At 42.1% G+C, this 25,158-nt stretch overlaps 1 protein-coding gene, 1 long non-coding RNA gene and 1 pseudogene across 5 annotated transcripts in view, besides 4 other annotated features; 1 reads left to right on the plus strand and 2 right to left on the minus strand.

The window, feature by feature from the left end:
• Positions 1 to 415: 415 nt before the first annotated feature.
• LOC105373056 (uncharacterized) lies at positions 416 to 17,836 on the minus strand. 2 transcript variants are annotated; one of them, XR_007066897.1, is made up of 3 exons: positions 17,731 to 17,836; positions 14,559 to 15,325; positions 416 to 1,017 (listed from the first exon to the last, which is right to left on the minus strand). It is a non-coding gene; the product is annotated as an uncharacterized LOC105373056 (long non-coding RNA). The 2 variants fall into 2 exon arrangements; XR_001737825.2 differs by lacking the exon at positions 17,731 to 17,836 and adding an exon at positions 8,849 to 8,949 and having other exon boundaries at positions 14,559 to 14,773.
• Positions 10,562 to 10,631: an enhancer, noted in NCBI's record as "active region_2595". NCBI's record gives its function as "activates an Ori minimal core promoter by ATAC-STARR-seq in GM12878 lymphoblastoid cells {active_cell/tissue: GM12878}" and the evidence as "EXISTENCE:reporter gene assay evidence [ECO:0000049][PMID:35858748]".
• RN7SKP49 (RN7SK pseudogene 49) lies at positions 11,078 to 11,337 on the minus strand (annotated as a pseudogene).
• Positions 17,550 to 17,679: an enhancer, noted in NCBI's record as "active region_2596". NCBI's record gives its function as "activates an Ori minimal core promoter by ATAC-STARR-seq in GM12878 lymphoblastoid cells {active_cell/tissue: GM12878}" and the evidence as "EXISTENCE:reporter gene assay evidence [ECO:0000049][PMID:35858748]".
• Positions 17,700 to 17,759: an enhancer, noted in NCBI's record as "active region_2597". NCBI's record gives its function as "activates an Ori minimal core promoter by ATAC-STARR-seq in GM12878 lymphoblastoid cells {active_cell/tissue: GM12878}" and the evidence as "EXISTENCE:reporter gene assay evidence [ECO:0000049][PMID:35858748]".
• Positions 17,900 to 17,969: an enhancer, noted in NCBI's record as "active region_2598". NCBI's record gives its function as "activates an Ori minimal core promoter by ATAC-STARR-seq in GM12878 lymphoblastoid cells {active_cell/tissue: GM12878}" and the evidence as "EXISTENCE:reporter gene assay evidence [ECO:0000049][PMID:35858748]".
• Positions 17,907 to 25,158, plus strand: part of FBXO28 (F-box protein 28) — a 47,937-nt gene continuing 40,685 nt past the window's right edge. For all 3 annotated transcript variants that reach the window (NR_049764.2, NM_015176.4, NM_001136115.3), the window contains exon 1: positions 17,907 to 18,192. Coding sequence is in view for 2 of the 3 variants with exons in the window: in NM_015176.4 (NP_055991.1) it covers positions 17,926 to 18,192 (267 nt within the window). In the remaining variant the exon portion in view is untranslated. The remainder of the gene's footprint in view (positions 18,193 to 25,158) is intronic.

Below are 25,158 nucleotides of genomic sequence, written 5' to 3' on the forward strand. Positions count from 1 at the left end.
TCCCCATTCACCTCCTGCTCTCTGAGATGATTTCTTAAACCATAGTTCTGCCAAATATTGCTCCAACCCACCAGACAAAATGTCCTTTGATAAGAATATCATGGTCCATGTACCACTGCACCCCAGCCTGGGCAACAAAATAAGAACACTGTCTCAAAAAAAAAAAGAAAGAAAAAGAAAAAAATAATGGTCCAGTTCGTGAAACCCCTGGGTTAATGGACTGCTGCCTCCTCCATCCTAAGGAGCAGTTTCTCCCACTCTGGTTCCACCTAGTGCCTTAACCCGAACCCTTGACATTATACTTAAGTCACCATAAGAGATGACTGATACACAAAGGACATCAGAATGATGCTCAATGATTGTAGCTACATGCATGCACCTGAAATTTTGTAATAGTGCTGAGGATAAAGACACCTTTACAAGGTAACAATTGTTTATTTCCTTCAGAGACAATAATGCCTCAAGAATCTCAGAACCCGAGCAGAAAGGCAGGCATGTGGCTCTTTAAAAGTTCTTCTCCCCAGTCTCCTACTTCCTGAGATGCATTCAAATCTGGTGAATGGGGTCTGAACCACAATTATTAGTTCAGAACCCATCATTTAAATTCAGAAATATTCCTGACACCCCCAAGTCTTCAGCCTTTGCCATCCAGTTTTATCCTATAATATTAGTTCTCCCATTCCATGCCTCCAAATCTATAATCCACCCTTCTCAGTTCTTGGCATCTTCTGTTCTGACATGCGACAAGTTGGCTTTGCCCCTTGACTCTGTCCTCACTTCCTAATCTGGCTCTGATGTACTTCTGCTGCACCTGCTTCCACTACTGATACCCTAAAACATGCCTCCTCCAATGGGCACAAGACAATGACCAGGGGACAGTAAAGACATCAGAAATGCTGTGTGGTGTGTTTCCATGCAAAGTTTGCAGACTTTTCTTCTTTTGAAAGCTGCAGAATCATTCTGGCTTATTGTTTATGGCTTAGGACTCCAAACCATGGTGTCATATTTAAATGAAACCTAGAAAAAAAATGAAGCAGTTATTAATGAGAGTTGTCATCTCCAGGACCATAATTGCTGTCAAAGACTCCATAGACAGGAGTCTCCAGTTAGTCTTAAATCAGAAACACTTGATCCTGAAACTGCATAGATTAGGATTTCATTTGGGGAAAAGTATCCTTCACAGTGCATACGGGCTCTGGCTCACACAGCTGACAGCTGCTCTATCCACAAATGCCCAACCCCTGAAGATGGCAGGCAGTGATGCTGAACCCTCATTGTTAAAGAGCTGAACAAACACCTCACCCCCATTCCAGACCAATGGCTAATTAACTTTGAACACTGCCCATTGTGCATCATTATAGTTTTATCTAATTCATTAGATATTTGCAAGCCTCTACTATGCCAATGTACCATGCCAGGTACTTGAGGCATACAAAGATAAATGGGACAAGTTCTCGGCTGGGCGCGGTGGCTAACACCTGTAATCCCAGCACTTTGGGAGGCCAAGGCAGGCGGATCACTTGAGGTCAGGAGTTTGAGACCAGCCTGGCCAACATAACATGGTGAAACCCCGTCTCTACTAAAAATACAAAAATTAGCCAGGTGTGGTGGGTGCCTGTAATCCCAGCTACTCAGGAGGCAGAGGCAGGAGAATCACTTGAACCTGGGAGGCAGAGGTTGCAGTGAGCCGAGATCGTGCCACTGCACTCCAGCCTGGGCAGGGGAAAAAAAAAAAAAAAGAGAGAAACAAGTTCTGTCTTGAGAAGAATTATAAATCCAAACCTAGATTTTAAAAATCAAACATTTATCCATTAGAAAAAGTCAAATGATGACCTATCTCCCTCAAAGCTTTATGAAAATCACTTAAGTAGAGGCCAGTGTCTGAAAGTAAGAGGAAAACGGCAAAAAAAAAAAAAAAAAGTAAAAAGAGTTCTGAAATATTTACTGCTCAGAAAATCTGAATTACAATGGTACTATGAATTTGATTACACAATTACGCAATTACCACAGCTTTTTTACAGATTTGGGGGTAAAACATAAATACAAACAGAGCCTACGGTATGCCTGAGAAACAGGTGTGGAGCGTATTTACCATGAGATTCTCAGAGTTTCTGATTTGGTAGATCTTGGGTATGGTGCAAAAACCTTAACTTTTTTTTTTTAAACAAGATCTTACTGTGTTGCTCAGGCTTACCTCAAACTCCTGGGCTCAAGGGATCCTCCCACCTCAACCTCCTGAGTAGCTAGGACCACAGGTGTGTGTCACTGCACCTGGTTAGAACCTTATTTATTATTATTATTATCATTTGTATTTTCTGTAGAGACGTGGTTTTGCCATGTTGGCTAGACTGGTCTTCAACTCCTTTCCTCAAGTGATTGCCCACTTCAGCCTCCCAAAGTGCTGAGATTACAGGCATGAGCCACCACACCCAGCCTAGAACCTTAATTTTTAACAAATGCCCCAGGTGTTTCTGATCCAAGTTTCTCACCAGAATTTTGAGAAATACTGACCTTTAGCAACAAGAGATGGACAGATAATGCCTAGCTGGCTCAAGACTAAATTGGTATATTGAGATTCAAATATCCAAATGCCCTGCTGTCTACCAACTCCTCAGCCCTTATTATCCTCCATTAAAATGTTCTCTGACTAAAGGCCATTACCCTAAGTGAAATAAATCAGAAACAGAAAGTCAAATACTAGATGTTCTTACTTCTAAGTAGCAGCTAAACAATGGGTACACATGGGCATACAGAGTAGAATAATGGACACTGGAGACTCCACAAGGTCGCAAGGTGGAGACGGGACAAGGGTTGAAAAATTACCTATTGTGTGCAATGTTCTCTATTTGGGTGATGGGTACACTAAACGCCAGAGTTCACCACTATACAATATATGCATAAGAAATCTGCACTTGTACCCCCTAAATCTATAAAAAAATAAAAAATAGTTAATTTTTTAAAAATAAAATAAAATGTTCTCAGAAAGTGAGAGAAGGGTCCTGTAGCAAGTGAAAGATGCCGACACTCAAGATGCATTTGCTTTATGAAGCTGGGCATGGTGGCTCACGCCTGTAATCCCAGCACTTTGGTAGGCCGAGGCAGGTGGATTGCTTGAGCTCAGGAGTTCGAGACCAGCCTGGGAAACATGGCAAAACCCAGTATCTACAAAAAAATACAAAAATTAGTCAGGCATGTGGCATGCACCTGTAGTCCCAGCTATGCAGGAGGCTGAGGTGGGAGGATGGTTTGAGCCTGAGAGGGGGAGATTGCAGTGAGCCAAGCTTGCACCACTGCTCTCCAGCCTGGGCAACAGAGCCAGACCCTATCTCAAAAAAAAGAAAAAAGAAAAAAAAAGATTCATTTGCTTTATGGAAAATCCAATTCTGCAAAAAAGTGAGCCATGGAAATATTTGGGTAAAGGACTTTCCAGGCCAAAAGAATGATGCTGAGGAGGGAGAAAGTTTGGTGTGAGAAGGAAAGAAAGACAGTGAGACTGAAGCAAAAGAGAGATGAGGCGTAAACTATGAGGTCAGAGCAAACCCAGAAGACAGACCTCGTCAAGTCTTACGTGTCTTTGTGAGGACGTTGGGCTTTTATTGGGTGGAATGGGAACCACTGAGCAAAGAGATGTGATCAGACTTATATTACAATAAGATCATTCTAGCTGCTGGATTGAGAATAGATTGAAAGGGGGTCAGGGAGGATGCAGGGACATCAGCTAAGAGGCTGTTACAATAACCCAGGCAAGAGATGATGGCAACTTGGTCAAGCAGCAGAGATGGTAACAAGTGGTAAGATTCCCAATGTGTTCCCGAAAGTTGAGCCTATGGGATTTGCTGATGGACTGGATGTGGGATGTGAAAGAGAGGAGTCAAGAATGACTTCAACTAAGGAGTATGGGGTTTCCTTGTGGGGTAATGAAAATGTTCTAAAATGGATTTTCAAACAGGAGATTTAGAAGTCAGTGCTCCCTCTCCCTCTCCCTCTCCCTCTCTTTCCACGGTCTCCCTCTCCCCACAGTCTCCCTCTCCCTCTCTTTCCACGGTCTCCCTCTGATGCCGAGCTGAAGCTGGACGGTGCTGCTGCCATCTCGGCTCACTGCAGCCTCCCTGCCTGATTCTCCTGCCTCAGCCTGCCGAGTGCCTGCGATTGCAGGCGCGCGCCGCCACGCCTGACTGGTTTTCGTGTTTTTTTGGTGGAGACGGGGTTTCGCTGTGTTGGCCGGGCTCGTCTCCAGCTCCTAACCGCGAGTGATCCGCCAGCCTCAGCCTCCCGAGGTGCCAGGATTGCAGACAGAGTCTCGTTCACTCAGTGCTCAATGGTGCCCAGGCTGGAGTGCAGTGGCATGATCTCGGCTCGCTACAACCTCCACCTCCCAGCAGCCTGCCTTGGCCTCCCAAAGTGCCGAGATTGCAGCCTCTGCCCGGCCGCCACCCCGTCTGGGAAGTGAGGAGCGTCTCCGCCTGGCCGCCCATCGTCTGGGATGTGAGGAGCCCCTCTGCCTGGCTGCCCAGTCTGGAAAGTGAGGAGCGTCTCTGCCCGGCCGCCATCCCATCTAGGAAGTGAGGAGCGCCTCTTCCCGGCCGCCATCACATCTGGGAAGTGAGGAGCGTCTCTGCCCGGCCGCCCATCGTCTAAGATGTGGGGAGCACCTCTGCCCTGCCGCCCCGTCTGGGATGTGAGGAGCGTCTCTGCCCAGCCGCCCCGTCTGAGAAGTGAGGAGACCCTCTGCCCGGCAACCGCCCCGTCTGAGAGGTGAGGAGCCCCTCCGCCCAGCAGCCACCCCGTCTGGGAAGTGAGGAGCGTCTCCGCCCGGCAGCCACCTCGTCCGGGAGGGAGCTGGGGGGTCAGCCCCCCGCCCGGCCAGCCGCCCCGTCCGGGAGGGAGGTGGGGGGGTCAGCCCCCCGCCTGGCCAGCCGCCCCGTCCGGGAGGTGAGGGGCGCCTCTGCCCGGCCGCCCCTACTGGGAAGTGAGGAGCCCCTCTGCCCGGCCACCACCCCGTCTGGTAGGTGTACCCAACAGCTCATTGAGAACGGGCCATGATGACAATGGCGGTTTTGTCGAATAGAAAGGGGGGAAAGGTGGGGAAAAGATTGAGAAATCAGATGGTTGCCGTGTCTGTGTAGAGAGAAGTAGACATGGGAGACTTTTCATTTTGTTCTGTACTAAGAAAAATTCTTCTGCCTTGGGATCCTGTTGATCTGTGACCTTACCCCCAACCCTGTGCTCTCTGAAACATGTGCTGTGTCCACTCAGGGTTAAATGGATTAAGGGCGGTGCAAGATGTGCTTTGTTAAACAGATGCTTGAAGGCAGCATGCTCCTTAAGAGTCATCACCACTCCCTAATCTCAAGTACCCAGGGACACAAACACTGCGGAAGGCCGCAGGGTCCTCTGCCTAGGAAAACCAGAGACCTTTGTTCACTTGTTTATCTGCTGACCTTCCCTCCACTATTGTCCTGTGACCCTGCCAAATCCCCCTCTGCGAGAAACACCCAAGAATGATCAATTAAAAAAAAAAAAAAGAAAGAAAAAAAAAGGAAAAAAAAAAAAGAAAAGAAAATGTTCTAAAATGGATTGTGGTAATATGGTTGCATCACTGTGAATATACTAAAAGCCAGTGAATTGAATACTTCAAGTGGGCAAACTGTTTGATACATATTATATCTCAATAAAACTTTTTTTTTTTTAAAAGAATGACTTCAAGATTTTTGGTCTGAGCAACAGGAAGAGTGAAGTCACCCCTCTACTGAAATAAGGAACATTTTGAAAAGAGCCAGTTTAATGGAGCTCAGTTGGGGATACAGCAAGTTGGGAGATGCTAAATTTGAGATGCCTATTAAATATCTAAATAGAGAAACTCCTTAGACAGTTGGATATTTGAATCTCAAATTCACAAGAATGGTCTGGGCTGGAGATATGTTTGTTTTAAAAGCCAAGCACGGTGGTTCCCACTTGTAATCCCAGCACTTTGGGAGACCAAGGTGGGAAGACTGCTTGACCTCAGGAGTTTGAGACCAGCCTGAGCAACATAGCAAGACCTCATCTCTACTTAAAAAAAAAAACAAATTTGGTGGCACATGCCACGTGCCTGTAGTCTCACAGTCTCCGCTATTTGGGAGGCTGAGGCGAGAAGATCACTTCAACCTAGGGCATAAAGGCTGCAGTGAACTATGATCAAGCCACTGCTCTCCAGCCTGGGTGACAGGGCAAGACCCTGTCTCAAAAATAAATAAATAAATATTTTTTAAAATTATAATAAAAATTAAAAGGACTAGATGAGATCACCTAGAGAGTCAATGAAGGCAATAAAGGGAAGAGGTCCATCTGGATATGGTGGTTCACGCCTGTAATCCCAGCACTTTGGGAGCCTGAGGTGGGTGGATCACAAGGTCAGGAGTTCCAGACCAGCCTGACCAACGTGGTGAAACCCTGTATCTACTAAAAATGCAAAAATAGCTGGGTGTGGTGGCGTGCGCCTGTAATCCCAGCTACTCAGGAGGCTGAGGCAGGAGAATCGCTGGAACCTGGGAGGCGGAGGTTGCAGTGAGCCCAGATCACACGACTGAACCCCAGCCTGGGTGACACAGCAAGACTCCGTCTCAAAAAAAAAAAAAAAAGAGAGAGAGAGAAAGAAAGAAGAAGACCAAGGACTGGGCCCTGGGGCACAGCAATGTTAAGAAGGAGGGAGATGTTTTGGTTGCTATAGGCTTGTAGTATGATTTGAAGTCAGATAATGTGATGCCTCCAGATTTGTTCTTTTTGCTTAGGATTGCTTTGGCTTTTCAGGCTCTTTTTTGATTCCATATGAATTTTAGGGTTGCTTTTTCTAATTCTGTGAAAAATGACATAGTACTGGTATAAAAGTAGAAACACAGACCAATGGAACAAAACAGAGAACCCAGAAATAAAGCCAAATGCCTACAACCAACAGATCTTCAACAAAGCAGACAAAAACACACACTAGAGAAAGGACACCCTATTCAATACATGGTGCTGGGATAAATGGATAGCCGCATGCCAAAGAATGAAACTGGATCCGTATCTCTCCCCACATACAAAAATTAACTCAAAATAGATTAAAGAAGTAAATGTAAGACCCGAAACCATTAAAATTCTAGAAGAAAACATAGGAAAAATTCTTCTGGACATTGGCCTAAGCAAATAATTTATGACTAAGAAAACAAAAGCAAAAGCAAGAAAACCAAAAATAAATACATGAGACTTAATTAAACTAAAAAAGTGTCTGCCCAACAAAAGAAATAATTAACAAAGTAAATAACCTACATCTGACAAAGGACTAATATCAAGAATCCACAAAGAATTCAAAAAACATCAAGAAAAAATCCCATTAAAAAGCAGGCAAACGACACGAACAGACATTTTTCAAAATAAGACACGCAAATGGCCAAGAGGTTGGGCGCAGTGGCTCACACCTGTAATCCCAGCATTTTGGGAGGCCAAGGCAGGCAGATCTCTTGAGGTTAAGAGTTCGAGACCAGCCTGGCCAACACGGTGAAACCCCATCTCTACTTAAAACACAAAAATTAGCCAGTGTGCTGATGCACGCTTGTCATCCCAGCTACTTGGGAGGCTGAGGTGGGTGGATCACTTGAACCCAGGAGGCAGAGGTTGCAGTGAGCCAAGATCGTGCCACTGCACTCTAACCTGGGCGACAGAGCAAGATTCCATCTCAAAAACAACCAAACAAACAAATGGCCAAGAAACATATGAAAAAATGTACAGCATCACTACTCATCAGGGAAATGCAAATTAAAACCACAATGAGATACTACCTGACCTCAGTCAGAATGGCCATCATTAAAAAATCCATGGCCAGGCAAGGTGGCTTATGCCTGTAATCCCAGCACTTTGGGAGGCTGAGGTGGGCATATCACTTGAGGTCAGGAGTTTGAGACCAGCCTGGTCAACATGGTGAGACCCCGTCTCTATTAAAAATACAAAAATTAGCCAGGCACGGTGGCAAGTGCCTGTGGTCCCAGCTACTCAGGAGGCTGAGGCAGGAGAATCACTTGAACCCAGGAGGCAAAGGTTGCAGTAAGCTGAGATCGTGCCACTGCACTCCAGCCTGGGTGACAGAGCAAGACCCTGTCTCAATAAATAAATAAATAAATAAATAAGTCCAAAAATGATAGATGTTGGTGTGAATGCATTGAAAAGCGAACATTTATACACTGTTGGTGGGAATGTAAATTAGTACAACCTCTGTGGAAAATAGTGTGGAGATTTCTCAAAGAACTAAAAGTAGATCTACCATTCAATCAGCAATCCCACTACTGGGTATCTACTCAAAGTACAAGAAGTCATTATATCAAAAAGACACCTAAACCCATATGTTTATTGCAGCACAATTTACAACTGCATAGATATAGAATCAAACTAAGTGTCCATCAACCAATGAGTGGATAAGTATATACTACATTTATATCCCATAGAATACTACTCAGTCATAAAAAAATGAAATAATGTATTCTGCAGCAACTTAGATGGAACTGAAGGCCATTATCCTAAGTGAAGTAACTTAGGAATGGAAAACCAAATACTGCATGTTCTCACTTATAAGTGGGAGCTAAGCTATGGGTACACAGCAGTGTAATAGACATTGGAGACTCAGAAGCAGGGAGGGAGGTGAGAGATGAAAACTTACCGGCTGGGTACAATGTACACTATTTAGGTGATGGGTACACTAAAAGCCCTGACTTCACCATTATGTAATTCATTCATGTAACCAAAAACCACTTGTACCCTAAAGCTATTGAAATTAAATAGTAATAATTTTAAAAGATGCAATTGATTGATAAAGTATAAGATTGTCTTGAAAACTTACATTTGTTACAATAATTTCAGTCTTGTGTAAAGCTGCTAGAGCTAGTCCACTGATTAAAGACTCTCTAGGAAGTGTTACCATATCAACAAATGCAATCAGATCTAAAAAGAAAAAACAAAAAGAATGAGGGAGATGAAGAGAGGTAGAGGAACGGCCAGTGGAATAGAAGGAAAATCAGGATGGCATATTGACCTAAAAGCCAAGTGCAGGAAGTGTTTTAAAGAGGGTAGAATCATCAACTGTGTCAAATGCTCCTGACAAGTCAAGTAAGATGAGTACTAAGAATTGACCCTTGGATTTAGCAATGTGGAGGTCCCCAGAGAACTTAATAAGAGCCATTTTGATGATATGGTCAGAGTAAAAGCCTGATTGAAGTGGGATCAAGAGAGAATACGAGAAGAGAAATCGGAGGCAGCAGCAAGAATGGCCAACTCTTTAAAGACGTTTGGCTGTGAAGAGAAGGAGAGAGATGGGGTAGTAGCTAGAAGAGTAGATGAAGCGAAGAGATGTTTTCCTAAGATGGGAGAACTAATGGCATGTGTATATGTGGAAGAGAAATAGAAGCAATCAGAAGAAACATCCACAGACTCTTACATTTACCCATCAGTCTGCACCTACCTGTGTGCTCTGCCTCCTCTTCTGTTACTTCAGATGAACTTTTTCAGTTCCCAGCTAACACCCGTGTTTCCACTTGCATAAAAGATCCTGTCCTCTCTCCTCTACTCAAGAAATCAGCAATTCCTTCTCTCCCACCAAAGTTTCCTTGTCTCCCACTAAAATTTCTCTCTTTACCTACTATTTTGACATTGAAATAAAAAGTCAGGTCAATAGTTGGATGGGGGATCGAAGGTTTGAGAAGAGAGGAGAAGATGTAAAATAATCATTTAGAAAAAGAGTAGAGGAAGTGAACTTGGAAAATATGCAGTGACTTCAGGGTAGCAGTAGAACCCACTGGAGGGTCACAATTACAAAGTTAAAGTGAAAACAGTCAGCAAGGTTGCATATATTTTGGTAGCCACTCTCAGCTCTCTAATGCAGGAAGGAGTAAGTAGAGAGTTGGATTTAACAATATTCTAACCTGGCCGGGCGCGATGGCTCACACCTGTAATCCCAGCACTTTGGGAGGCTGAGGCAGGCAGATCACCTGAGGTCAGGAGTTCAACATGGTGAAACCCCCTCTCCACTAAAAATACAAAAATTAGTCAGGCGTGGCGGTGGACGCCTGTAGTCCTAGCTACTCGGGAGGCTGAGGCAGGAGAATTGCTTGAACCCAGGAGGCAGAGGTTGAAGTAACTGAGATCGCCCCACTACACTCCAGCCTGGGCAACAGAGTGAGTGAGACTCTTTAAAAAAAAAAAAAAGACTTAATAACTGTAGCAGGGAATTGGAACAATGAGGGATTGGCTAGTAAGAAGTAAAGAAAACTCTAAAGAATAAAAGAATAACAAATAAAGTAGCAGCCATGTTCTTTGAGCTGGGATAGAGTATCCAGGGAAAAGGCTCCCCAGGCCCAGGACCCAGATCTTGGAGGGCACAGGTATGGCTCACTAGGCAGCAGAGAAATTCTTGTGATTCTGTGCTGGCAGAACTGGCTGGAAATCTGCCCTTTGGAATTTACCAGAAATCTGTCCTCTAGGATGTCAGGGAAAGCAGGTCATGGAGAGGTGTCGCACCAGACACTTTACTACAAAGCCATTCAAGGGAGAAGGTGATGCCAAGGGAAGCTGCTGGTCAATGGGTGCTACTGACTACCCTGCCAGGCAGGACATGGTGCTGGAGAATCTGCCCGTGTGCTGCAGGAGCTGCCAAGCAAGCACACCGTAACCAGGAAGCAAAACTCTTTGCTCTTGCAATGTCTGCCCAGAGCCCTCTACTGACATAGCTTCACACTGCGCCAGCTGATAAAGAAAAAAACATTTAATGGGCCCGTTAGTATTTTCACAAAGCAAGCAAAAAAGGGTGAATATAGAGCTCAGAGGCAATTAAATGATAATTGACACAAACATTTTTTAAATAATTAAAAGCAAAAACAATCACCACTGGTCTACAGAATTAAAGTCCAAAATCCTGTGCACACATGCACTTCTCTCATCTTTTGGATGTTTACCTAATTCATGCTATTTGCTTTTACTGTTACCTTTGTTTGAAATGTCCTCACACCCTTTTTCAACTTTTAATTAACAAAACCACTGCAAGTATCCCAACATCATCATCCTTCTAAGTCAAGCTGAAAAAGAACCTTCTCCATGAAACTTTCCCTGGTGTTCCCATAAGTTTTGTTTACACACCTTTCTAATGGCAGAACAGAGGCAGCTGAATCACATGTCCAGAATAGTCCAGGAAATTAAGCTTTTCTTCCTGAATATACAACTTTAGGAAAACTGCACATGAGAAAATAAGGAAACACCAGTCCAGTCTGCCAGGTCAATGGAATAAATTCAGGCCATCAATGTGGTGACTGGTACTGCAGCCAGATTCATATCATCCCCAGGGTGGGAAATATTGTTTATATCTTAGTATCTTCCTAGCATTACCCATGTAGCAATCAATAAACACTTGCTGAATTGAAAGTCTAGTGGACTACCTTTTTCTGGAGTCAAACTTTAAATTTTAAAAAATTTATCTAATCATAAAATTTCATATATTAGTCATGATAGAAAATGTCTTATCTAGTCAAAAGATGGATCTTTAGGCTGGGTGCAGTGGCTCACGCTTGTAATCCCAGCATTTTGGGAGGCCAAGGCAAGCAGATCACTTGAGGCCAGGAGTTCTAGACCAGCCTGGCCAACATGGTGAAACCCCGTCTCTACTAAAAATATAAAAACCAGCCGGGCATGGTGGCTTGTGCCTGTAGTCCCAGCTACTTGGGAGGCTGAGGCACAAGAATCTTTTGAATCTGAGAGGTGGACGTTCCAGTGAGCCAAGATCACACCACTGCACTCCAGCCTGGGTGACAGGGCAAGACTCTGTCTTAAATAAATAAATAAATATTTAAAAAGATGGATCTTTAAAAACACAGTTAATTGCAATCCATAGAAACTTCAAATCTCTTTTTAGTTAGGATATGAGCTCTTCCTTCATTCTTTCTAAATATATTACAAATCTGCTAGCAAATAGAAAAATAATATCTAGTTTTAGCTTCTTTTTTAATATATAAAGCCCATCTTCCTATGGAGGTACCATTGAATAGGCTAGATCACCCCTCACCATGTCCCACCACACCCAACACCCCCCATCTCCTCAACACACACCCTAACCAGGGAAGCAGAAGAATAACAGAGTCCTCATTGTAGTAAATTGATTTTAACACCTTTAATCAGAGGCATTCCAAACCCCACCCATTTGCAGTCTCAGTTCATCCTCATTTCAACTGTGTGATATAAGAGAGGTAATATTCTCCCCTTTTACAAATATGAAACTAGAAACACACAGATCTTAAGAAGCATGTGTCCATCTCATACCCGAGACCACTGTCTTGCAAAGGTCCTATTGTAGTCTGTTGGCATAAAACTATATTTAGAACCTAGAACTACTCTTGAATTCAAATATTTGTATTAGTTACAAATAATTGTTGTGATTGGAAAGCATATCCAAAACAAGCACTGATTTTAATAATTGAAACAAATCCAAAACAAACATTGATTTTAATAATTGAAACAAAGAAACCATTTGCTTTGAAATTCTCTTATTAAAAATATGTACGGGCTCACACCTGTAATCCCAGCACTTTGGGAGGCTGAGGCGGGCAGATCGCTTGAGCTCAAGAGTTCCAGACCAACCTAGGCAACATGGTGAAACCCTATCTCTACAAAAATACAAAAATTAGCCAGTTGTGGTGGTATGCACCTGTAGTCCCAGCTACTTGGGAGGCTGAGGTGGAAAGATGGCTTGAGCCCAGGAGGCGGAATTTGCAGTGAGCTGAGATCATGCCACTGCACTTTAGCCTGGGTGACAGAGTCAGACCCTGTCTCAAATAAATAAATAAATATGAACTTAAATAAATTTTAAAATGTAGGAGATATAAGGGCACAAATCCAATATACATAAACAGAACCATTTGAATGAGCTACTGGCAGGAACTGGTTTAAATTGTTCCCTACATTGTATTTACTCTATTGTTAGATCAGTATTATTCTATTCAATGTATTCTATTGTTAGGTCACCTAATCTGGATGTTAACTAGCTGTCTGCCAGTGGAGAGTTAAGGGAGTGGGAAGGCTTTTCATGTGTCCACTTCAAGCAAACAAGTAATGATTGGATTTACAAAATAAAGTTAGAGAGTGATGATTCATATTTTAAAGGATTTTCTATGGGTTTCCTTTAAATGAGTTTCCATAATGAATTTAAAGCATGATTCTATTTACAAAAATTATATTTCAACCTAACCTATCAAGAAGCCATCTAGTTTTAATTAAAAAGGTAGAAAATGAATTTAATTAAGACTAAGTTGTAATGGGTTCTATGAAGAGATAGCAATATCATAGAAGAAAAGTAAAATTACAATCTATTAGTGGAGATAAAACTAACATATTATAAATATGCAAACATGTCAGAAAGAGTCAATCATAAAGCATATGTTGAATGCTAAACAACCCAAAGTAGGAGAATCAAAGGAACAACTTCAAAACTTTTGCAACAATCATAGGTAAAATGATAATTGTTCACATGCCAAGTGAATGGGGAAAGGATGCCAATTCTAACAAGCTCAACACCACCAATTAATTTCTTTGCTTCAGTTGCCCCCACTTCCCTTAACCTTTAGTCATACTTAGTTTTTTCTGCAGTTTTCACATCTACTGTGCAAACATTAGATTCCAAAAGAAAGCTACAAAAGAAAGGACATATTGGAAGCTTTAAGAATAAGACCAAAGCACTAGGGAGAAGAAAGCTTCAAAATTTAATGATTTGGCAGGCATGGTGGCTCATGTCTGTATCCCAGCACTTTGGGAAGCTGAAGTGAGAAGATTGCTTGAGCACAGGAGTTCAAGACCAGCCTGGACAATATAGTAAGACCTCATCTCTACAAAAAATTTAAAAAGTAGCCAGGCATGGTGGCGCACACCTGTAGTCCCTACTTGGTAGGCTGAGGTAGGAACATTCCTTGAGCCCAGGAGGTCAAGGCTGCAGTAAGCCATGATCATGCCACTGCACTACAGCCTGGGCAACACAGTGAGACCCTGTCTAAAAAAAAATAGTGACTTGTATACCTTTATCTTTGTCATAGGATATTATAAGTATACAAACATACAGAAAGTTTAGGCAACCTTTAAATTTTTTTTCTGAAATAATTACAAGATAGTACAAGGAAGACTCTGGTATACCCTTCAACCAAATTCATCAATTAATAACATTTGCTGTATTTGCTATATTAACCTCATTCTCTATCTATTTACTTGAACCATTTGAAAGTAATTTGAGGCATCATTTCCCTCTACCCATAAATACAGAAATACCTCTGAGATATTGAGAGTTAGACCACACAGGCCACCATAATAAAGCAAGTAGTGCAATAAACCCAGTGACACAAGTAAGTTTTGGTTCCCAGTGCATATAAAAGTTATGTTTATATAAAACTGTAGTCTATTAAGTGTGCAATAGCATTATGTCTAAAAAATGATATACTTTAATTTTAAAATATTTTATTGCTAAAAAATGCTAATCATCTGAGCCTTTGGTGAATCATAATCTTTTTGCTGGTAGAGGGTCTTACCTCAATTTAACAGCTGCTGATCGATCAGGATGGTAGTTACTGAAGGTTAGGGTGGCTGTGGCAATTTTCTAAAATAAGATAGCAATGAAGTTTGATACACTGATTGACTCTTTCACAAAGATTTTTTCCATGGCATATGATGCTGTTTGATAACATCTTGCCACAGTAGACCTTTTTTCAAAATTGGAGTCAATCTTCTCAAACTCTGCCATTGCTTTATCAACTAAGTTTATGTAATATTCTAAATCCTTTGTTGTCTTTTAATAATGATCACAGCATCTTCACCAGGAACAGATTCCATATGAAGAAATCACTTGCTTTGCTCATTCATAAGAAGCAACTCCTCATCCATTCAATCCATTCAAGTTTGGCTTTTTTTCTTTTCTTTTTTGAGCTGGAATCTCGCTCTGTTGCCTAGGCTGGAGTGCAGTGGCACGATCTCAGCTCACTGCAACCTCTGCCTCCCAGGTTCCAGCAATTCTCCTGCCTCAGCCTCCCGAGTAGCTGGGATTATAGGCGCATGCCACCACGTCTGGCTAATTTTTGTACTTTTAGTAGAGAAGGGGTTTTGCCACATTGGCCAGGCCGGTCTCGAACTCCTGACCTCAGGTGATCCACCCACCTGGGGCTCCCAAAGTGCTGGGATTACAGGCGTGAGCCACCGCACCCGGCCTCCATTCAAGTTTTATCATGAGATTGCAGCAACAATTTAGTCACATCTTCAGGCTTCACTTCTAATTCCAGTTCTCTTGCTATTTCCACCATAGCTGCAGGAGAAGAAGAGAGATGGGGAAACAGCAGCCAGTCAGAACACCTACATGTATTGATTAAATTTGCCGTCTTATATGGGTATGATTGGTGGCACCTCAAAACAATTACAATAGTAACATAAAGATTACTGATCTGCCAGGCATGGTGGCTCACTCTCGTAATCTCAACACTTTGGGAGGCCAAAGCAGGCAGACTGCTTGAGCACAAGAGTTCAAGGCCAGCCTGGGCAACGTGGCAAAACCCTGTTTCTACAAAAAAAAATCAAAAATTATCCAGGTGTGGTGGCACACACCTGTAGTCCCAGCTACTCAGGAGGCCAAGGTTGGGGGATTGCTTGAACCCAGGCGGTGGAGGCTACAGTGAGCCATCATCCTGTCATTGCACTCCAGTCTGGGCAACAGAGCAAGATGCTGCCTCAATAAACAAAAAAAATTACTGATCACAGCTCACCATAACAGATATAACAATAATAAAAAGTTTTAAATATCAGAGGAATTATCAAAATGTGACAGAAAGAAACAAGGTGAACACATGCTGTTGGAAAAATGGCACCAAGAGACTTGCTCAAGGGTTGCCACAAACCTTCAATTCATTTTTAAAAACGCAATATCTGAGAAGCACAAGAAAGCAAAGTGTAAAATACAAAGCATGCGGCCGGGCGCCATTGCTGCCTGTAATCCCAGCACTTTGGGAGGCTGAGGTGGGTGGATCACAAGGTCAGGAGTTCGAGAGCAGCCTGGCCAAGATGGTGAAATCCCGTCTCTACTAAAAATACAAAAATTAGCCAGACGTGATGGTGGGCGCCTGTAATCCCAGCTACTCAGGAGGCTGAGGCAGGAGAATTGCTCGAACCAGCTGACATCGCACCACTGCACTCTAGCCTGGGTGACAGAGCAAGACTCCATCTCAAAAAAATAAATAAATAAATAAAGGAAAATAATAGAAGCATGCTTATCCTTCAATGTGTATTTCCTAAAGACAAAGACATTGTCTTATATGACCATAATACAATTACCCAAATCGAAAAATTTAATATGATTACAGTATAATCTAATATACTGTCCATTTTTAAATTTTGCCAGTTGTCACAATAACGTTCTTCATAGTTATTTCTTCCTTAATCCAGGATCCCATCCAGGATCACCCATAGATTTAGTTGCCCTGTCTCTTTAGTATCCTTTAATCTGCCACAAACCCTTAGTCTTTGTCTTTTGTAACGTTAACACTTTTGAATAATTTATGGGCCCGTCATCTAGCGATGTCTACCTCAAACGCAACTCGTGCTTTTTTTGCATGAATACTACATTATGCTGCGTCCTTTTCAGGGTATTATATTAATAGGCATATGATATTGGCTCCTCCTATAACTGTGGCGTTAGTCTTGATCATTTGGTTATGATGGTGTCCACCAAATTTCTCTATTGTAAACTTTTTTTTTTTTTCTCGCTCTGTTGCCCAGGCTGGAGTGCAGTGGCAGGCTGACGGTTCGCTGCAGCCTCGAACTCGTGTGGCTCAAGCAATCCTCCCATCTCAGCCTCACGAGTAGCTAGGACCATAGGACCTAGCCACCACATTTGGCTAATTTTTTGTATTTTTTGTAGAGATGGGGTTTCTCCACGTTGCCCAGGCTGGTCTCCAACTTCTGGGCTAAAGTGATTCTCCCGCTTCAGCCTTCCAAAGTGCTGGATTACAGGCGTGAGTCAACACGCCCAGCCTTGTAAACTATTTCTTTTCATCTTTGTAAATAATACATAATTTATGGGGAGTTATTTTGAGACTATGGAAATATCATGTTCCTCATCACGTTTACCTCCTAGTTTTAGTACCTTTTGATGATTCTTGCCTAAATCAGTTATTAGAATACAATTCATATATGATAAAATTCATTAAAGTATATAGTAATTCAGTGGTTTTTGTATATTCATACGGTTGTGTAACCATCACCGCTAATTCCAGAGCATTTTTATCACCCCGAAAATGAAACCCTTCACCCATTAGCACTCATTTCCCCATTTCCCCCAGCCTCTGGCGACCACTAATCTACTTTTTATCTCTATGGATTTGCCTATTTAAGACATCCTATATAAATGCAATCATACAATATGTGGTCCTTTGTGTCTAACTTATTTCACTTAATATGTTCTCACGGTTCATTCATGTTGTAGTTCTTATTGATATTTCATACCTTTTTATTTGCCTAAATCAATCATTTCTATGATTCCTAAAAAATGGTGCTAGTCTAACTACATTATTTCCATCTACACTTACTAGGCAACATCTTTATCATCCATTGTCAGGAAGCCCTTTAAGAAAACTGCACAGTGAAGTTCATTTTAATAAATAGGGTTTCCTTGCTCTCAAGTAGTTACTAATCTTAGACAAAAGGGTCTAGGATGACCACCTTTCTTGAGGTTTACATGATCTTCCCTGACTTCCACTTGAAAGGCACCCTGTGAGTCTCTCTCCGCCTGTTATCCCACAGGCTCCTCCCCACTCCTCCAGGTACCCCTTCCCCGGCGGCTGCAGGAGGAGGAAGTGACGCACCGGAAGTGTCCCTGTTCCCCTTGCTGTGGGGGTAAGGAATCAAGCCCCCAAGATGGCGGCAGCGGCGGAGGAGCGGATGGCAGAGGAAGGAGGCGGCGGCCAAGGCGACGGCGGTTCCTCTTTGGCCTCCGGCTCTACCCAGCGACAGCCTCCACCGCCCGCGCCACAGCACCCGCAGCCGGGGTCCCAGGCGCTCCCAGCCCCCGCGCTGGCTCCGGACCAGCTGCCTCAAAACAACACGCTTGTGGCGCTGCCCATCGTAGCCATCGAGAACATCCTCAGCTTTATGTCCTACGACGAAATTAGCCAGCTCCGCCTGGTGAGGCCCCCGCAGAACTCCTGCCTCCCTCTCCCCCCGGCCGAGGTCTGGGAGATGAGAAGGGAGCGCGTTCCCCGGGAAGGGAGCCCCCCGCGAGCCCCAGCCGGCTACAGATCTGGGAGGGAGCCGCTCCCGTCCCGAACTCTCCCTTGGCGTCAGTCAGCAGGAGTGGGCTGGTTCCCGATTGCGTCCTAGCTGCGGAGCTGGGGTTACTTCCTGAGGGGACTTCGCCTTGGGGGCTCCTTGCCCCCCGCCCGGAAGCGGGCCCTCTACGGGAGGGGTAGCGGAGTTGGTCTTCCCACCTTCCGCCTGGCCCGAGAGTAGACCCGGAGAGGTCATGTCGCCTGCCTTTTGTATGCCGCTTCCAGCCCCCGGCCTGGGTTTGGGGAGAAAACTCAGAAGTAGGCAGATGATCCCAGCCAGGTTTGGTTTATCTTGCAAGAATAACGAATTGTTCCCCACCCCAACCACCCAAGTTTTCTTGTTCGAGAAGATTGAGTAGACTAAGGTGGCTCAGTGACCCCAAACCCAGGTAGAGGTTCCGAAGAATTCGAACGTGTTTACTTAGCGTTAGCCCCAGCGCCCTAATTGACCACTAAAGTAGAGCCTTGGGAAATGACCATTCCTGCTTTGCCTCATCCTAACGCTTCCCACCGTAGAGAAGCAACTTACCCCTTGACGGGTTTTTTCTCTTTTGCAATTTATTTTTAACTAGTGATTTACGCCCACCCACCTGCTTTAGGAGAGGTTTCTTTATACCTTAAAATCACAATAGGTCAGTCCATGATTTTTAAAAATAATGAATTTGCCATTGGGGTTTTACTTCACTCCAGAGGTTTGAAGATGTGGTGATTGTTAGTTCAGTTAGATATTTTGCTGCCTTTCAATGAAATTATCTTTAAGTGGTAAAGAAATTGAAGGAGGTGGACATTTTGAAGTGATTGCAAACCGATTCCATGGAGAAGCTAAATCTGTGCTGGGAATTGTTTTTAAGAGGACAAAGATATTTCTGAATGTGCTGTGTATAACATCTTCTTATTACTCAATATGCTATATTGTAGGCATACACCTCCACTTTCAAGTGGATTATAATTACATTTTTAAAGGAAATCATAACATTTTTAAAAGAGAACTTATAAATATTAATTCAAACTGATGGCCAATTTTTTTTCTAGTCAACACAGCAGTTCAACCATGCCAGTCTGCAGGATGGAAAATTTCTTCAGCTGAAAATAGATATTTCACAATTGATTGCCTCTGAATTTCCAAAACGTTTTCATTCTAGAATTTCATGTAGAATCTTAAATATTCCTTCAGATTTTTACAAACAGTGGCGTTTAATCAAAATTCGCGCTGTACATATACAGTGTTTGGAAAATTGGGCATATAACATTTGATTGAATTGAACCATTCAACCAGACAATGGCTTTGTAAATCTTGGAATATTCACAGTTCTGTTTTGTAAGTGTTGAGAAAAACTGAGTTTTATTTGTTTGTTGATCATTTTACTATTTTAAAAAAATGTAGTGGGGAGGGGGGAACCAGCCTGTCCTAACTAGAGTTAAAACACATCCCACAACTTATGAATAAATGACATCTCTGTCAGGTGAGATATTCAGCTGCATTCTTAATTTTTAAGCAGTTTTCTGGCCTTTTAAGGTTATAAATTTATAATTTCAAACTCAGATTTTTCATAAGGAGTCCCTTCAGTACAACTGCCCACCCCCAGGAAAAGATTCTGCCCCGTTTTACATGTGCAAATATGATTTTTGAGTAATGGGGAACTATTTTTTTTACTTAAGGCTAATGGATAATTCTTGAATAGATTAAATGGATAATCCTTTGTGGGGAGTTGGAAGTGTCTTTGCTTGGAAGGTACAATTCAAGTAACGTTAGAAAAGAAAGATGTTCTTTTTTGCCACTAGGTGTCAGCATTAATTTAATTATGATCTTTTCTGAAATTGGCAGTCAAGAGAGTACCTAGGTGAGCTGTACATGCCTTCTTAAGTAGCCATTTATACCTAAAGAATCGTTTGCAAAAAATCAAGGGACTTTAGTGTATGCTGCTATCTGACATATAAGTTACGTAGTTCTCTTCATTGTAAGCATATTTTTGAGTGGAATTAAGGCTGGATATGCTTTGAAGGGGGTAATATTAAGAACAGAATTAGTTTTCATAAAGCTAAATGTCAGTTGTTAGGTAGGAGTTAGTTTATGTATTGTTCAGGGACTTTTTTTCTTCCTTCTCAGTTTGCTTGTCTTATTGGAACCTCAGTTACAACTTTGCTTAGCATCTAATGTAGACAATAAATAGGTACACAATCCATGTACTTACTACTCTGCATTTTCTTTAAAAGATTTGCTCTAGGTTGAAATTGCTACAATAACATTTTTCAGTTATTTGTACTGTTTAGTTGATAATAGTCTTTGCTTCCTCTTACCATGAATAACTGATTTCCAAGGGACTGTGTGAATGCCTTATTAAATTGGATTTTTGGCTGGGCGCAGTGGCTTACACCTGTAATGCCACCACTTTGGGACGCCGAGGTGGGCAGATCACCTGAGGTCAGGAGTTCAAGACCAGCTGGCCAACATGGTGAAACCCCATCTTTATAAAAATACAAAAATTAGCCAGGCATAATGGTGGGTGCCTGTAATCCCAGCTACTTGGGAGACTGAGGTGGGAGAATTGCTTGAACCTGGGAGGCAGGGGTTGCACAACGTGAGCCGAGATCGCCGTCTCAAAAATAAAAATAAAAATAAATTGGATTTTTTTTTTTTTTTTTTTGAGACGGAGTCTCGCTCTGTCACCCAGGCTGGAGTGCAGTGGTGCCATCTTGGCTCACTGCAGCCTCCACCTCCTGGGGTTCAAGCGATTCTCCTGTCTCAGCTTCCTGAGTAGCTGGAACTACAGGCGCACGCCACCATGCCCGGCTAATTTTTCGTATTTTAGTAGAGACGGGGTTTCACCATGTTGCCCAGGCTGGTCTCGAACTCCTGAGCTCAGGCAATCCACCCACCTAGGCCTGAATTTATTTATTTTATTTTATTTTATTTTATTTTTTGGCCATTGACTATTGATCAAAAGATGTATCCTGAGTCTGGTGGTTTCACAGAAATTACTCCTTAAATATTTAACTCCTCCAATGTAAAATTATTTGGCTGAACACAACCTTTGAAATGACAAAACATGTACTTTGAGTTGTTTTTCCAGTAAAACAGAGAAATTTGTGCTGATGCAGCATTAGTATGTCACCCAGGCCCCCTTGGCAGGTGGGTGAGAGACTCTGAAACAAGTGGCAAAGGTTAAGAAGTGAGATCCTGGCTCACTTACAGTGCGGTGGCTCACGCCTGTAATCCCAGCACTTTGGGAGGCCAGGGTGGGCGGATCACTTGAGGTCAGGAGTTCGATACCAGCCTGGCCAACATGGTGAAACCCCATCTCTACCAAAAATATAAAAAATTAGCCAGGCGTGGTGGCACACGCCTGTAATCCCAGCTACTTGGGAGGCTGAGGCTTTGAACCTATGTAACTTTGGCTTATGAGCATTATATTCTTACCTACTGAAAAACAAGTATAGGGAGCTTTTTAATTAATTAATTAATTTATTTATTTATTTATTTATTTATTTATTTTTAATTTTTGAGACAGGGTCTCCCTCTGTCGCCCAGGCTGGAATGCAGCGGCGTGATCACAGCTCACTGAAGCCTTGATTTCCTGTATTTTTTGTGGAGATGTGATTTCTCCATGTTGCCCAGGCTGGTCTTAAGTTTAAACTCCTAGGCTCAAGTGGTCCGCCCACCTCAGCCTTCCAAAGTGCTGGGATTACAGACGTGAGCCACTGCACAGTATAAAAAGGGTAAAAAATTTTTTTTCTATTTATTTAAAGTACAATATAAAAAGGGAAAAAAAATTATCCTGTTTCAAACACTGCATTATATAATTTTACCTGCCCTACAGGAGGCTTTTAAAAGATGTTTTAGAGAGATACTATCAATTTTTTTCCTCTGCGATTCAACTGGAGCTCTTATCATTTTAATTGGAATCATATTAGTGGTTCAGAACATGAATTTGACTAAAGGTTAAGTTGAGAATTCTTGCCTATTTTCTGGAATGAAATTTTCCAGTCAGCAACAAAATACATAAATACGTGCTTTTGTCTCAAGATATTTCTCTAGAGCACTTTAGCTAATTAAATCTATTACCTATTTATAGTTCCTTTCACATCTTTTCTTCAAATATGTTAGAAAATTTTAGTTATAGAGTGGGTTGGTTGGTAGGAAATATGAAGGAAAATGAAGAACCATTACTTCTTTTTTTGTTTTTGTTTTTAAGTAGGCAAGCTGTCTTGTATCTCTCACTCTGCACAAGAGTTCTCAGTTTTTTTGGTCTGAAGACACCTTTACACTTTTAAAAGTTATTGAAGACCCATAGAACTTACCTTGGAAAATTCTAGAAAACACAAGAATACACATAACATATTCCATTAGCTGTCAGAACAATAATGTCAGCACATGTCATATTGCTTCTGGAAAATTCCACTGGATACTCGTGAGAGAATGAGTGGAAAAGGCAAATAACTTCTTGGTACTCTGAGAATAGTTTGGCCTTGCAAACCTCCTGAAAGGGTCTCCAGGACCCTGGGGATCTCCCACTGCCCAGACCACACTTTGAGGACCACTGCTCTGTATTGCTCTATTCCAGAGAATACACTCTTGCTGATTTTTTCTTTTTTTTCTTTTTTTTTTTTTTTTTTGACGGAATCTCGCTCTGTCGCCCAGGCTGGAGTGCAGTGGCGCGATCTCGGCTCACTGCAAACTCTGCCTCCCAGGTTCATGCCATTTTCCTGCCTCAGCCTCCCAAGTAGCTGGGACTACAGGCACCTGCCACCACGCCCGGCTAATTTTTTTTTTTTATTTTTAGTAGAGACGGGGTTTCACCGTGTTAGCCAGGATGGTCTCGATCTCCCGACCTCATGATCTGCCTGCTTCGGCCTACCAAAGTGCTGGGATTACAGGCATGAGCCACCGTGCCCGGCCCCACTGATTTTTTCTTGTATTTTTCTCCCACCATCTCTTCAGGCTATTGATTTTATTAATGAGTGCATAAGTACAGGTAAGAAATTATAATCTCTTGGGGGCAGTTCGTTCTTCCAGTTCTCACAAAGTAAAGAGGTTCAGTCAGTAACTCTGTCCACTGTGTCGTCATCAAGAGAAAATATACATACCTTCCTTGAGCACACTTACACAGCATCAGGATAACAAATGCAAAGATGGTAAATATGAGTGTTGAGGTTGATTAGGACTTAATCAGGAAAGACCTCCTCAAGATAATAAGTTTTTATCCAGTTAATAAAGGTAGAAGAGCATTCCCAGCAGAAAAAAAACGATGTGTAAATTATTGAAGTGATTGGAGAAGAATGACTTAGAGGGATTCAGATAAACTTGAATTTGGATATGTGAAATTGTTAATGTTCTAGATTAGTGGTCACCTGTCCTCCTGTCTCCCCAGCTTTTTTATTTCACAGACCAGTCAGATTTAAGAAACTGTTTTTGAGAACCTCCAGGGCTGACATCTTTTGGTGGGTGGAGCAAATAAGGGCATTTTAAAAAACAAAACAACTTCCGTCTCGTATCATCATCATTTCTTAAAAGACACCAGATATATCTGCATACCTTGATAAACTGAGTAGTATGAATTCTTACAAAATTGAAGAAGATACTATGTTAAAAGGATGACCTGTGCATATAAATCCAATTTCATAATTTTTGAGACTGGGAGCAAAAGATAACCTTTAACAGAGGTTTCCCTTAAACACCTACTTCTAGCATCTTGTACTTAAGATTGATTGAAACAAACATCAAGCTCTTCAGTTTCCCAAATATCTTGGGCCTCTGCAAACACATGCTTTTTCCTGTTTCGCTCTCCTAGAAAATATTTGTACCTTTGGCATATACCTCATTCTATAATTCTTCTCTGAACTTTATGTAGGTAATATTTCTAAGTTTCCATTGCATCATTATTGCACTTACTACATTGGAATTATCTTTGGAGGAGCCTGTTTTCCAATTACCTTAGTCTGTGATGCAATATAAGTACTCAGTAATTATTGAATAAATGAAGTAGCTCTTAAAAACCATTTCACTGCTCTGAATAAACAATAGAAAATATATGTCATTGTAGGGCTGGGCGTGGTGGCTCACGCCTGTAATCCCAGCACTTTGGGAGGCTGAGGCAGGTGAATTACCTGAGGTCAGGAGTTCGAGACCAGCCTTACCAACATGGTGAAACCCCGTCTATACCGAAAATACAAAAATTAGCTGGGCATGGTGGCGGGCACTTGTAATCCCAGCTACTCAGGAGGCTGAGGCAGGAGAATCACTCGGACCCGGGAGCCAAAGGTTGCAGTGAGCCGAGATCATGCCATTGCACGCCAGCCTGGGCAACAAGAGCGAAACTCCATCTCAAAAAAAAAAAAAAAAGAAAGAAAGAAAAGAAAATGTATGTCATTGTAAGATAAATGTTTTCTGTATAAACTATAATAGTGTTACAAAATCAGTTGCTTAATATTTACTTCCAAGAGAGGAGATTAGAACTTTTTTTTTTTACATTTTTCATTCACCCTAGAATGTCTTTAACATTTTACAAGACCATTTTAAGAAAATGAGTGACTAAAGAAAACTCTTAGGAGTTATTAAAATTGATTGATACACTGATCTGAAGCCAGTATGTAATTAACAAGATAGCCATTTGCAATAGTGCATCAGGGTTCCTTTGTTTTAGTCAACATTTAATTGATTTATTAATGAGAAAAATAATGGTACAGATAATCAAAAACTGAGAACAATCCAAAAGGCTTTTTTATGTGGTGGTTAGGATGCATTATAGGAATCCTAAGAAGAAATTCTTCCTAATTGTTATACTTAGACTGAAATTAAAATGAATTTATATTTTCTTTCCAAGTG

This window comes from Homo sapiens, chromosome 1 (assembly GCF_000001405.40).
Source record: "Homo sapiens chromosome 1, GRCh38.p14 Primary Assembly".
Taxonomy (NCBI): Eukaryota; Metazoa; Chordata; class Mammalia; order Primates; family Hominidae; genus Homo; species Homo sapiens.